The sequence below is a fragment of the Homo sapiens genome, chromosome X (genome assembly GCF_000001405.40).
Source record: "Homo sapiens chromosome X, GRCh38.p14 Primary Assembly".
NCBI lineage: Eukaryota > Metazoa > Chordata > Mammalia > Primates > Hominidae > Homo > Homo sapiens.
The window spans coordinates 62,663,923-62,678,275 of record NC_000023.11 but is presented as its reverse complement, the minus strand read 5'-3'; the positions used below and the strand labels follow the sequence as shown (position 1 = coordinate 62,678,275).

The following is a 14,353-nucleotide window of genomic DNA, read 5'->3' as shown; positions in this document are numbered from 1 at the left end:
AAATTTCTCATAAAGCTTCTTTTTCTAGTTTTTATGTGAAGATGTTTCATCTTTACCATAGACCTCAAAGGGCTCCCAAATATCCCTTTGCAAATTCTAGAAAAAGACTGTTTCCAAACTGCTCAATCAAAGGAAAAGTTCAGCTCTGTGAGATGAATGCACACATCACACAGAAGTTCCTCAGAAAGCTTCTGTGTAGTTTTTATGTGAAGATATTTACTTTTTCACAGTAGGCCTCAAAGGGCTCCCAAATATCCCTTTGTAGATTCTACAAAAAGACTGTTTCCAAACTGCTCAATGAAAGGAAATTTTCAACTCTATGAGATGAATTCATGCATCACAAAGAAGTTTCTCAGAAAGTTTCTGTCTAGTTTTTGTGTGAAGATATTTCCTTTTTCACCATAGACCCAAAAGGGCCCTCAAATATCACTTTGCAGGTTCTACAAAAAGACTGCTCCCAAACTGCTCAATCAAAAGAAAGTTTCAACTCTGTGAGATGAATGCACACATCACAAAAGAGTTTCTCAGGAAATTTCTTTCTGGTTTTTATTTGAAGATATTTCCTTTTTCAAAATAGGCCTCCAAGGGCTCCTAAATATCCCTTTGCAGATTCTAGAAAAAGAATGATTCCAAACTGCTCAATCAAAGGAAAAGTTCATCTCTGTGAGATGAATGCACACATCATAAAGAAGTTTCTCAGAAAGTTTCTGTCTAGTTTTTATATGAAGGTATTTCCTTTTTCACCATAGATCTGAAACCGCTCAGAAATATCCTTTTGCAGATTCTATGAAGAGATTTTTTCCAAATTGCTCAATGAAAGGAAAGTTTCAACTCTGTGAGATGAATGCACACATCACAAAGAAGTTTCTGAGACAGCTTTTGTCTGTCTAGTTTTTACCTGAAGATATTTCCTTTTTCACCATAGGCCTCAGAGGGCTCCCAAATATCCATTTGCAGAATCTACAAAAACACTGTTTCCAAACTAGTCAATCAAAAGAAAGGTTGAACTCTGTGAGATTGATGCACACATCTGAAAGAAGTTTCTGAGAAAGTTTCTGTCAAGTTTTTATATGAAGATATTTCCTTTTTTACCCTAGGCCTCAAACTGCTCAGAAATATCCCTTTGCAGATTTTCCAAAAAGACTGTTTCCAAACTGCTCAATCAAAAGAAAGGTTCATCTCTGTGAGATGAGTGCACACGTCACAAAGAACTTTCTCAGAAAGCTTCAGTCTAGTTTTTATCTGAAGATATTTCCTTTTCACCATAGGCCTCAAAGGATTCCCAAATATCCCTTTGCAGATTCTACGAAAATACTGTTTCCAAACTGCTCATTAAAAGGAAAATTTCAACTCTGTGAGTTGAATGCACACATTACAAGGAAGTTTCTCGGAAAACTTCTGTCTAGTTTTTATGTGAAGATATTTCCTTATTCACCGTAGTCCTCAAAATGCTAAGAAATATCCCCTTGAAGATTCTAGAAAAAGACTATTTCCAAACTGCTCAATCAAAAGAAAGTTTGAACACTGGGAGATAAATGTGCACATCACAAAGAAGTTTCTCAGAAATCTTCTGGCTAGTATTTATGTGAAGATATTTCCTTTTTCATGATAGTCCTCAAAGAGCTACCAAACATCCATTTGCAGATTCTAGAAAAAGTCTGTTTCCAAACTGCTTTATCAAAAGAAAGCTTGAACTCTGTGAGATGAATGCATGCATCACAAAGAATTTTCTCAGAAAGCTTCTGTCTAGTTGTTTTTATGTAAAGATATTTCCTTTTTCACCATATGCCTCAAAGGGCCGTCAAATATCCCTTTGCAGATTCTGCAAATGGACTGTTTCCAAACTGCTCAATCAAAATAAAGTTTGAACTCTATGAGATGAATGGATGCATCAGAAAAAAGTTTCTCAGAAGGCTTCTGTCTAGTTTTTATGTGAAGATATTTCCCTTTTCCCCATAGGCCTCAAAGGGCCCTCAAATATCCCTTTGCAGATTCCACAAAAAGACTGTTTTCAAACTGCTCAATCAAAAGAAAGGTTAAACTCGGTGAGATGAATGCACACATCACAAAGAAGTTTCTCAGAAAGCTTCTGTCTAGTTTTTAGGTGAACATATTTCCTTTTTCACCGTAGGCCTCAAACCACTCAGAAATATCCCTTTTCAGATTCTAGAAAAAGACTGTTTCCAAACTGCCCAATCCAAGAAAGGTTGAACTCTGTGAGATGAATGCAGACATCACAAAGAAGTTTCTCAGAAATATTCTGTCTGCTTTTTAGGTGAAGATATTTCCTTTTTCACCATAGGCCTCAAGGGGCTCCAAAATATCTCTTTGCAGATCTTACAAAAAGCCTGCTCCCAAACTGCTCAATCAAAAGAAAGTTTCAACTGTGTGAGAGGAATGCACACATCACAAAGAAGTTTCTCATAAAACTTCTGTCCAGTTTTTATGTGAAGATAATTTCTTTTTCACCGTAGGCCTCAAAGCACCCTCAAATATCCCTTTGCAGATTCTACAAAAAGACTGTTTCCAAACTGCTCAATCAAAAGTAAGGTTCAGCTCTGTGAGGTGAATGCACACATCACAAAGAAGTTTCTCAATAAGCTTCTGTCTAGTTTTTATGGGAAGATATTCGCTTTTTCACCATAGGCCTCAAAGGGATCCCAAATATCCCTTTGCATATTCCACAAAAATACTGCTCCCAAACTGCTCATTCAAAAGAAAATTTCAACTCTGTGAGTTGAATGCACACATCACAAGGAAGTTTCTCAGAAATCTCCTGTCTAGTTTTTATGTGAAGATATTTCCTTTTTCACCATAGGACTCAAACTGCTCAGAAATATCCCTTTGCAGATACTACAAAAAGACTGTTTCCAAACTGCTCAATCAAAACAAAGGTTCAGCTCTGTGAGCTGAATGCATACATCACAAAGAAGTTTCTCAGAAAGGTTCTTTCTAATTTTTATATGAAGATATTTCCTTTTTCACCATAGGCCTCAAAACACTCAGAATTATCACTTTGAAGATTCTACAAAAAGAATGTTTCCAAACTGCTCAATCAAAAGAGAGGTTCAAACATATGAGATGAATACACACATCACAAAATAGTTTCTGAGAAAGCTTCTATCTAGTTTTTATATGAAGATATTTCCTTTTTCACCATAGGCCTCAAAGGACTCCCAAACATCCCTTTGCAAATTCTACAAAATGTCTGCTTCCAAACGGCTCAATCAAAAGAAAGCTTGAACTCTGTGAGATGAATGCACGCATCACAAAGAAGTTTCTCAGAAAGCTCTGTCTGGTTTTTATGTGAAGATATTTCTTTTTTCACCATAGGCCTCAAAGGGCCCCCAAATATCCCTTTGCAGATTCCACAAAAAGACTGTTTCCAAACTGCTCAATCAAAAGATAGTTTCAACCCTGTGAGATGACAGCACACGTCACAAAGAAGTATCTCAGAAAGCTTCTGTCTAGTTTTTAGGTGAACATATTTTCTTTTGCACCATAGGCCTCTAACTGCTCAGAGATATCCCTTTGCAGATTCTAGAAAAAGGCTGTTTCTAAACTGCTCAATCAAAAGAAAGGTTCAACTCTGTGAGATGATTGCACTCATTACAAAAATGTATCTCAGAAATCTGTCTAGTTTTAATGTGATGATATTTCCTTTTTCACCATAGGCCTCAAACAGCTCACAAATATCGCTCTGCAGAATTTACAAAAAGACTGCTTCCAAACTGCTCAATCAAAAGAAAGTTTCAACTCTATGAGATGAATGCACACATCACAAAAAGAAGTTTCTCAGAAAGCTTCTGTCTAGTTATTATATGAAGATATTTCCTTTTTCACCACAGGCCTCAAAGCGCCCTCATATATCCCTTTGCAGATTCTGCAAAAAGACTGTTTCCAAAATGCTCAGTGAAAAGAAACGTTCAACTCTTTGAGGCGAATGCACTCATTACAAAGCAGTTTCTCAGAAAGCTTCTGTATAGTTTTTATGTGACGATATTTCCTTAATCACCATAGGCCTCAAAATGCTCGGAAATATCCCCTTGCAGATTCTAGAAAAAGACTGTTTCCAAACTGCTCAATCAAAAGAAATGTTCAACTCTGTGAGATGAATACACACATCACAAAAAGTTTCTCTGAAAGCTTCTGTCTAGTATTTATATGGACATATTTCCTTTTTCACCATAGGCCTCAAACCGCTTTGAAATATCCCTTTGCAGATTCTACAAAAAGACTGTTTCCAAAGTACTCAATCAAAAGAAAGTTTCAGCTCTGTGAGTTGGAAGCACACATCACAAAGAAGTTTCTTAGAAAGCTTCTGTCTAGTTCTTATGTTAAGATATTCCCTTTTTCACCATAGGCCATGAAGAGTTCCCAAATATCCTTTTGTATATTCTAGAAAAAGACTGTTTCCAAACTGTTCAGTCAAAAGAAAGTCTAAACTCTGTGAGGTGAATGCACGCATAACAAAGAAGTTTCTTAGAAAGCTTCTGTCTAGTTTTTATGTGAAGATATTTCATTTTCCACCATAGGCCTCAAACCTCCCCCATGTGTCCTTTTGCATATTCTATAAAAAGACTGTTTCCAAACTGCTCAATCAAAAGAGAAATTCAACAATGTGAAGTGAATGCACACATCAAAAAGTAGTTCCTCAGAAAGCTTCTGTGTAGTGTTTATGTGAAGATATTTCCTTTCACACCATAGGCCTCGAAGGGCTCCCAATTATCCCTTTGCAGATCCTCCAAAAGACTGTTTCAAAACTGTTCAATCAAAAGTAAAGTTCAAATCTGTGAGAAGAATGCACACATCACAAATAAGTTTCTCAGAAAGCTTCTGTATAGTTTTTATATGAAGATATTTCCTTTTTCACCATAAGCCTCAAAGGGCTCCCAAACATCCCTTTGCAGATTATACTGAAAGAGTGTTTCCAAACTGCTCAGTCAAAGGGAAGTTTCAACTCTGTGAGATGCATGCATGCATCACAAAAATTTTTTGCAGAAAGCTTCTGTCTAGTGTTTATGGGAAGATATTTCCTTTTTCACCATAGGCCTCAAAGCACCACCAAATATCTCTTTGCAGATTGTACAAAAAGACAGTTTCCAAACTGCTCAGTCAAAAGAAAGGTTCAAATTTGTGAGGTGAACGCACTCATTAGAAAGAAGTTTCTCAGAAATCTTCTGTCTACTTTTATGTGAATATTTTTCTTTTTTCACCATAGGCCTCAAAACGCTCAGAAATATCCCTTTACAGATTCCACAAAAATACTGTATGCAAACTGCTCAATCAAAAGTAAGGTTCAACTATGTGAGATGAATGCACACATCACAAAGACATTTCTGAGAAAGCTTCTGTATAGTTTTTATGTGAAGATATCTCCTTTTTCACCATAGTCCTCAAAGGCTCCTAAATATCCCTTTGCATATTCTACAAAAGACTGTTTCCAAACTGCTCTATCAAAAGAAAGCTTCAACTCTGTCAGATGAATGCACACAACAGAAAGAAGTTTCTCAGAAAGCTTCTGTGTAGTTTTTATATGAATATGTCCATTTTCACCATAGGCCTCAAACCACTCAGAAATATCCCTTTGCAGATTGTACAAAAAGAGTGTTTCCAATCTGCTCAATCAAAAGAAAGTTTCAAATGTGTGAGACGAATGCACACATCACAAAGATGTTTCTTAGAAAGCTTCTGTTTAGTTTTTATGTGAAAAGATTTCCTTTTTCACCATAGGCCTCAAACTGCTCAGAAATATCCCTTTGCAGATTCTGCAAAAAGACTGTTTCCAAACTGCTCAATCAAAAGAAAGTTTCAACTCTGTGAGATGAATGCACACATCAAAAACAAGTTCCTCTGAAAGATTCTGTCTAGCTTTTATGTGAAGATATTTCCTTTTCCACCATAGGCCTCAACGCACCCCGAAGTGTCCCTTTGCAGATTCTACAAAAAGACAGATTCCAAACTGCTCAATCAAAAGAAAAATTCAAATCTTCGAGATAAATGCACACATCAAAAAGAAGTTCCTAAGAAAGCTTCTGTCTAGTTTTTATGTGAAGATATTTTCTTTTTCACCATAGGCTTCAAAGAGTTCCCAAGCAACCCTTTGCAGATTCCATAAAAAGACTGTTTCCAAACTGCTCAATCAAAAGAAAGTTTGAACTCTGTGAGATAAATGCACGCATAACAAAGAAGTTTCTCAGAAAGCTTCTATCTAGTTTATATGTGAAGGTATTTCCTTTTTCACCAAAGACCTCAATGAGCCCTCAAATATGCCATTGCAGATTCCAGAAAAACACTATTTCCAAGCTGCTCAATCAAAGAAAGGTTTAACTCTGTGAGATGAATGCCAACACAACAAAGAAGTTTCTCAGAAAGCTTCCATCTAGTTTTCATGTGAAGATATTCCCTTTTTCAACATAGGCCTTAAAGCACCTCAAATATCCCTTTGCAGATTCTACAAAAAGAGTGTTTGCAAACTGCTCAATCAAAAGAAAGGTTCAACTCTGTGAGATGAATGCATGAATCACAAAGGAGTTTCTCAGAATGCTTCTGTCTAGTTTTTATGTGAAGATATTTCCTTTTCCACCATAGGCCTCAAATCGCTCCAAATATCCAATTGTAGATTCTACAAAAAGAGTGTTTCAAAACTGGTCTATCAAAAGAAAGGTTCAACTCAATGAGATGAATGCACACATCACAAATAAGTTTCTCAGAATGCTACTGTCTAATTTTGTGTAAAGATATTTCCTTTTCCACTATAGACCTGAAAGTGCTCCAAATATCCATTTGCAGATACTACAAAAAGACTGTTTCCAAACTGCTCAATCAAAAGAATGGTTCAACTCAGTGAATTGAATGCACACATCACAAAGAAGTGTCTGAGAATGCTTCTGTCTAGTTTCTATGTGAAGATATTTCCTTTTCCACCATAGGCCTCAAAGCGCTCCAAATGTCCACTTGCAGATTCTTTAAAAATAGTGTTTTAAAACTGCTCAAAGAAAAGATAGGTTCAACTCTGTGAGATGAATGCACACATCACAAAGAAGTTTCTCAGAATGCTTCTGTCTGGTTTTTATGTGAAGATATATCCTTTTCCACCATAAGAGTCAAAACGCTCCGAATATCCTTTTGCAGATACTACAAAAGGACTGTTTCTAAACTCCTCAATCAAAAGAAAATTTCATCTCTGTGAGTTGAATGCACACATCACAAAGAAGTTTCTCAGACTGCTTTGGTCTAGTTTTTATGTGAAGATATTTCCTTTTCTACCAGAAGCCTCAAAGCGCTCCAAATATCCACTTGCAGATTCTACAAAAAGAGTGTTTCAAAACTGCTCAATCAAAACAAAGTTTCAACTATGTGAGATGAATGCACACATCACAAAGAATTTCCTCAGAATGCTTCCTTCTAGTTTTTATGTGAAGATATTTCCTTTTCCACAATAGGCTTCAAAGAACTCTAAATATTCATTTGCAGATACTAAAAAAGACTGTTTCCAAACTGCTCAATCAAAATAAAGGTTCAACTATGTGAGTTCAATAAACACAACAAAAAGAAGTTACTCAGAATGCTTCTGTCTAGTTTTTAAGTGAAGATATTTCCTTTTCCACTCTAGGCCTCAAAGCACTCCAAATATCCACTTGAAGATTCTACAAAAAGACTCTTTCAAAACTGCTCAATCAAAAGAATGGTTCAACTCTGTGAGATGAATGCAAACATCACAAAGGTGTTAAACAGTATGTTTTTGTCTAGTTTTTATGTGAAGATATTTCCTTTTCTACTATAGGCCACAAAACACTCAAAATATCCATTTACAGGTACTACAAAAAGAGTATTTCAAAACTGCTCAAGGAAAAAAAAGGTTCAACACTGTGAGATGAATGCACACAACAAAAAGAAGTTTCTCAGAGTGCTTCTGTATAGTTTTTATTTGAAGACATTTCCTTTTCCACCACAGTCCTCAAAGCACTCCAAATGTCCATCTGCAGATACTACAAAAAGACTGTTTCCAAACTGCTCAATCAAAAGAAAGGTTAAACTACGTGAGTTGCATGTACACATCACAAAGAAGTTTCTCAGAATGCTTCTGTCTAGTTTTTATGTGAAGGTATTTCCTTTTCCACCATAGGCCTCAAAGTACTCCAAATATAAAATTGAAAATTCTACAGAAAGAGTGTTTCAAAACTGCTCAATCAAAATAAAGTTTCAACTGTGTGAGATGAATGCACACATCAAAAGAAGTTTCTGACAATGCTTCTATTTCTTATGTGAAGATATTTCCTTTTCCACCATAAGCCACAAAGCAGTCCAAATATCCACTTGCAGATCCTACAAAAAGACTTTTTTCCAAACCGCTCAATCAAAAGAAAAGTTCAACTCTGTGAGATGAATGCACAGATCACAAAGAAGTTTCTCAGAATGCTTCTGTCTAGCTTTTATGTGAAGATATTTCCTTTTCCACCATAGGCCTCAAGGCACACCAGATATCCATTTGCAGATACTACAAAATGACTGTTGTTTCCAAACTGCACAATCAAAGGAAAGTTCCAAAATTGTGAGATGAATGCACACATCACAAACTAGTTTCTCAGAATGCTTCTGTAAAGTTTTTATGTAAACATATTTCCTATTCCACTATAAGCCTCAAACCCTCCAAATATATACTAGTAGATTCTACAAAAAGAGTTTTTCAAAACTGCTCAATCAAAAGAAACGTTCAACTCCATGAGATGAATGCAGACATCACAAAGAAGTTTTTCAGAATGCTTTTGTCTAGTTTTTATGTGAAGATACTTCCTTTTCCACTATAGGCCACAAAGCTCTCTAAATATTCACTTGTGGATTCTATGAAAACTGTATTTCAAAACTGCTCAATGAAAAGAAAGGTTCAGCTCTGTGAGATGAATGCACACAACATAAAGAGGTTTCTCAGAATGCTTCTGTATAGTTTTTATATGAAGATATTTACTTTTCCACCTTAGGCCACAAAGACCTCCAAATATCCACTCACAGATATTACAAAAATATTGTTTCAACACTGCTCAATCAAAAAAAGTTTCAACTCTTTCGGATGAATGCACACATCACAAAGGAGATTCTCAAATGCTTCTGTCTAGTTTTTATGTGAAGATATTTCTTTTTTCGATCATAGGCACAAAGCGCTGCAAATATCCACTTGCACATTCTACAAACAGAGTGTTTGAAAACTGCTCAATCAAGAGAAAATTTCAACTCTGTGATATGAAGGCACATAATTACAAACAAGTTTCTCAGAATGTTTCTGTCTAGTTTGTATGTGAAGATATTTCCTTTTCTACCATAGGACTTAAAGCGCTACAAATATCCATTTGCAGATACTACAAAAAGACAGTTTCCAAACTGCTCCATCCAAAGAAAGGTTCAACTCTGTGTGTTGAATGCACACAGCACAAGGAAGTTTCTCAGAATGCTTCTGTATAGATTTTATGTGAAGATATTTCCTTTTCCACCATAGGCCTCAAAGCCCTCCAAATATCCTTTTGCAGTTTCTACAAAAAAGAGTGTTTCAAAACTGCTCAATCAAAGAAAGATTCAACTGTGTGAGATGAATGCACACATCAGAAAGAAGTTTCTCAGAATGCTTCTGTCTAGTTTTTATGTGAAGACATTTCCATTTCCACTATAGGCTGCAAAGTGCTCAAAGTATCCACTTGCAGATTATACAAAAAGAGTGTTTCAAAGCTGCTCTATCAAAAGGAAGGTTCACCTCAGTGAGAGAAATGCACACATCACAAAGAAGTTTCTCAGAATGCTTCTATATGGTTTTTATTTGAAAATATTTCCATTCCAACATAGGCCTCAAAGTGCTCCATATAAACATTTGCAGATAGTACAAAAAGACTGTTTCTAAAATCCTCCATCAAAAGAAAGTTTCAACTCTGTGAGTTGAATGCAAAAATCACAAAGAAGTTTCTCAGAATGCTTCTGTCTAGTTTTAATGTGAAGATATTTCCTTTTCCACCATAGGCCTCAAAGCACTCTAAATATCCATTTGCAGATACTACAGAAAGACTGTTTCCAAACTGCTCAATCAAAAGAAAGCTTCAACTATGTAAGATGAATGCACACATCACCAAGAAGTTTCTCTGAATGCTTCTCTCCAGTTTTTATGTGAAGATATTTTCTTTTCCAATAAAGGCCGCCAATCGCTGCAAATATCCACTTGCAGATTGTACAAAAAGAGTGTTTCAAAACTGCCCGATCAAAAGGTTTCAACTCTGTGAGGTGAATGCACACATCACAAAGAAGTTTCTCATAATGCTTCTGTTTAGTTTTTATGTGAAGATATTTCCTTTTCCACTATAATCCACAAAGCGCTCAAATTTTCCACTTGTAGATTCTACAAAAAGAGTGTCTCAAAACTCCTCAAAGAAAAGGTTCAACTGTAAGATGAATGCACACATCAGGAAGAAATTGCTCAGAATGTTTCTGTCTACTTTTTATCTGAAGATATTTCCTTTTCCACCATAGACTTCAAAGCACTCCAAATACCCATTTGCAGATACTACAAAAAGACTGTTTCCAAACTGTTCAATCCAAAGAAAGATTCAACTCTGTGAGTTGAGTGCACACATCACAAAGAAGACTCTCAGAATTCTTCTGTCTAGGTTTTATGTGAAGACATTTCCTTTTCCACCATAGGCCTCAAAGCACTCCAAATATACACTTGCAGATTGTACAAAAGGAGTGTTTTACAAGTGCTCAATCAAAAGACAGATCCAACTCTGTGAGATGAATGCACGCATCAGAAAGAAGTTTCTCAGAATGCCTCTGTCAATTTTTTATGTGAAGATATTTCCTTTTCCACCATAGGCCTCAAATCACTCCAAATATCCACTTGCAGATTCTACAATAAGAGTGTCTCAAAATTGCTCAATCAAAAGAAAGGTTCAACTCTGTTAGATGAATGCACACATCACAAAGAAGTTCCTCTGAATGCTTCTGTCCAGTTTTTATGTGAAGATATTTCCTTTTGCACTATAGGGCGTGAAGCGCTCCAAGTATCCACTTGCAGATTCTACAAAAACAGTGTTTCACAATTGCTCAATCAAAAGAAACTTTCAGCTCTGTGAGACGAGTGCACACACCATAAGGATGTTTCTCAGAATGCTTCTGTCTAGTTTTTATATGAACATATTTCCTTTTCCACTGCAGGCCTCATATTGCTCCAAATATCCATTTGCAGATACTACAAAATGACTGTTTCCAAACTGCTCAATCATAAGAAATGTTCATCTCGGTGAGATGAATGCACACATCACAAAGTTGTTTCCCAGAATAATTCTGTCTCGTTTTTATGTGAAGATATATCTTTCCCACCATATGGCTCAAAGCACTCCAAATATCCATTTGGAGATACTACAAAAAGACTGTTTCCAAAATGCTCAATCAAAAGAAAGTTTAAACTCCATGAGTTGAATGAACACATCATAAAGAAGTTTCTCAAAATTCTTCTGTCTAGTTTTTATGTGAAGATATTTCTTTTCCACCATAGGCCTTAAAGCGCTAAAAATATCCATTTGCCGATACTACAAAAAGACTATTTCCAAAATGCTCAATCAAAAGAAAGGTTCATCTCTGTGAGATGAATGCACACATTGCACAGAAGTTTCTCAGAATGCTTCACTCAAGTTTTTTTGTGAAGATATTTCCTTTTCCATCGTAGGCCTCTAAGCACTCATACTATCCATTTTCAGATACTACAAAAAGACTGGTTCCAAACTGCTCAATAAAAAGAAAGGTTCAACTCTTTGCATTGAATGCACACATCACAAAGAAGTTTCTCAGAATGGTTCTGTCTAGTTTTTATGTGATGATATTTCCTTTTCCACCATAGGCCTCAAATCGCTCCAAATATCCAATTGCAGATTCTACTGTAAGAGTGTCTCAAAACTGCTCAATCAAAAGAAAGGTTCAACTCTATTAGATGAATGCACACATTACAAAGAAGTTCCTCTGAATACTTCTGTCCAGTTTTTATGTGAAGATATTTCCTTTTGCACTATAGGGCATGAAGCGCTCCAAGTATCCGCTTGCAGATTCTACAAAAACAGTGTTTCACAATTGCTCAATCAAAAGAAACTTTCAGCTCTGTGAGACGAATGCACACATCATAAGGATGTTTCTCAGAATGCTTCTGTCTAGTTTTTATATGAACATATTTCCTGTTCCACTGTAGGCCTCATATCGCTCCAAATATCCATTTGCAGATACTACAAAAAGACTGTTTCCAAACTGCTCAATCAAAAGAAATGTTCAACTCGTTGAGATGAATGCACACATCACAAAGTTGTTTCCCAGAATAATTCTGTCTCGTTTTTAGGTGAAGATATTTCCTTTTCCACCATAGGTCTCAAAGCGCTCCAAATATCCGTTTGCAGATACTACAAAAAGACTGTTTCCAAAATGCTCAATCAAAAGAAAGTTTAAACTCTGTGAGTTGAATGAACACATCACAAGGAAGTTTCTCAGAATTCTTCTGTCTAGTTTTTATGTGAAGATATTACCTTTTCCACCCCAGACCTCAAAGTGTTCCAAATATCCTTTTGCAGATTCTACAAAAAGAGTGTTTCAAAACTGCTCAATCAAAAGAAAGTTTCAACACTGTGAGACGAATGCACACATCACAAACAAGTTTCTCTGAATGCTTCTGTCTAATTATTATGTGAAGATATTTCCTTTTCCACTATGGGTCGCAAATCGCTCCAAATATCCACTTGCAGATTCTACAAAAAGAATGTTTCAAAACTGCTAAATCGAAAGAAAGGTTCAACTCTGTGACATGAATGTACACATCACAAAGAAGTTTCACAGAATGCTTCTGTATACTTTTTATATGAAGATATTTAATTTTCCACTATTGGCCTCAAAGCACACAAAATATCCATTTGCAGATACTATAAAAAGACTTTTTCCAAAATGCTCAATCAAAGGAACATTTCAACTCTCTGACATGAATGCACACATCAGAAAGAAGTTTCTCAGAATGCTTCTGTCTAGTTTGTATGTGAAGATATTTCCTATTCCACTATAGGCTTCAAAGCCCTCCAAATATCCACTGGAATATACTACAAAAACAGTGTTTTAAATCTGCTCAATCAAAAGAAAGTTTCAACCTGGAGGGATGAATGCACACCTCTCAAAGTAGTTGCTCAGAATGCTTCTGAGTAGTTTTTATTTGAAGATATATCCACTTCCATTATAGTCCTCAAAGCGGTCCAAATATCCAATTGCAGATTCTCCAAAAACAGTGTTTCAAAAATGCTCAAAGGAAAGGTTCAACTATATGAGTTGAATGCAAACATCACAAAGAAGTTTCTCAGAATGCTTCCGTTTAGTTTTTATTTGAAGATATTTAATTTTCCACCAGAGTCCTCTAAGCACACCAAATATCCATTTGCAGGTACAACAAAAATAGTTTCCAAAATGCTCAAAAGAAATGTTCAATTCTGTGTCAAATGCACACATCACAAAGAAGTTTCTCATAATGCTTCTGTCTACTTTTTATGTGAAGATATTTCCTTTTCCAGTATAAGCCCCAAAGCTCTCCAAATATCCACTTGCAGATTCTATGAAAAGAGTGTTTCAAAACTGCTGAATCCAAAGAAAAAGTTTCAACTCTGTGAGTTGAATGCACACATCACAAAAAAGTTTCTCAGAATGCTTCTTTCTAGTTTTTATGTGAAGATATTTCCTTTTCCATTACGGCCCTGAAGGTGCTCGAAATATCCACCTGCAGATAGTATAAAAGGCCTGTTTCCAAACTGCTCAGTCAAAGTAAGTTTCAACTCTGTGAGTTGAATGCAAACATCACAAAGATTTTTCTCAGAATGCTTCTGTCTAGTTTCTTTGTGAAGATATTTCCTTTCCACCATAAGCCTCAAAGTGCTCCAAATATCCTCTTGTACATTCCACGAAAAGAGAGTTTCAAAACTGCTCAATCAAAAGAAATGTTCAACTCTGTGAGATTAATGCACATATCACAAATATGTTTCTCAGAATGGTTCTGTCTAGGTTTTATGTGAAGATATTTCCTTTTCCACCGTAGGCTTCAAAGCGCTCCAAATATCCACTTAAAGATTATGCAAAAAGAGTGTTTCAAAACTGCTCAATCAAAAGAAATGTTAAACTCTGTGAGATGAATGCACACATCACAAAGAAGTTCATCAAAATTCTTCTGTCTAGTTTTTATGTGAAGATATTTCCTTTTCCACCATAGGCCAAAAAGCACTCCAACTATCCATTTTCAGATACTACAAAAAGACTGGTTCCAAACTGCTCAATCAAAAGAAAGGTTCAACTCTTTGCATTGAAT

At 35.9% G+C, this 14,353-nt stretch overlaps 1 annotated feature.

Annotated features, from left to right (window-relative positions):
• Positions 9,713 to 10,214: an enhancer, noted in NCBI's record as "OCT4 hESC enhancer chrX:61887532-61888033 (GRCh37/hg19 assembly coordinates)". NCBI's record gives its function as "activates a minimal SCP1, AML or CMV promoter by ChIP-STARR-seq in primed H9 embryonic stem cells {active_cell/tissue: H9 hESC(primed)}" and the evidence as "EXISTENCE:reporter gene assay evidence [ECO:0000049][PMID:30033119]".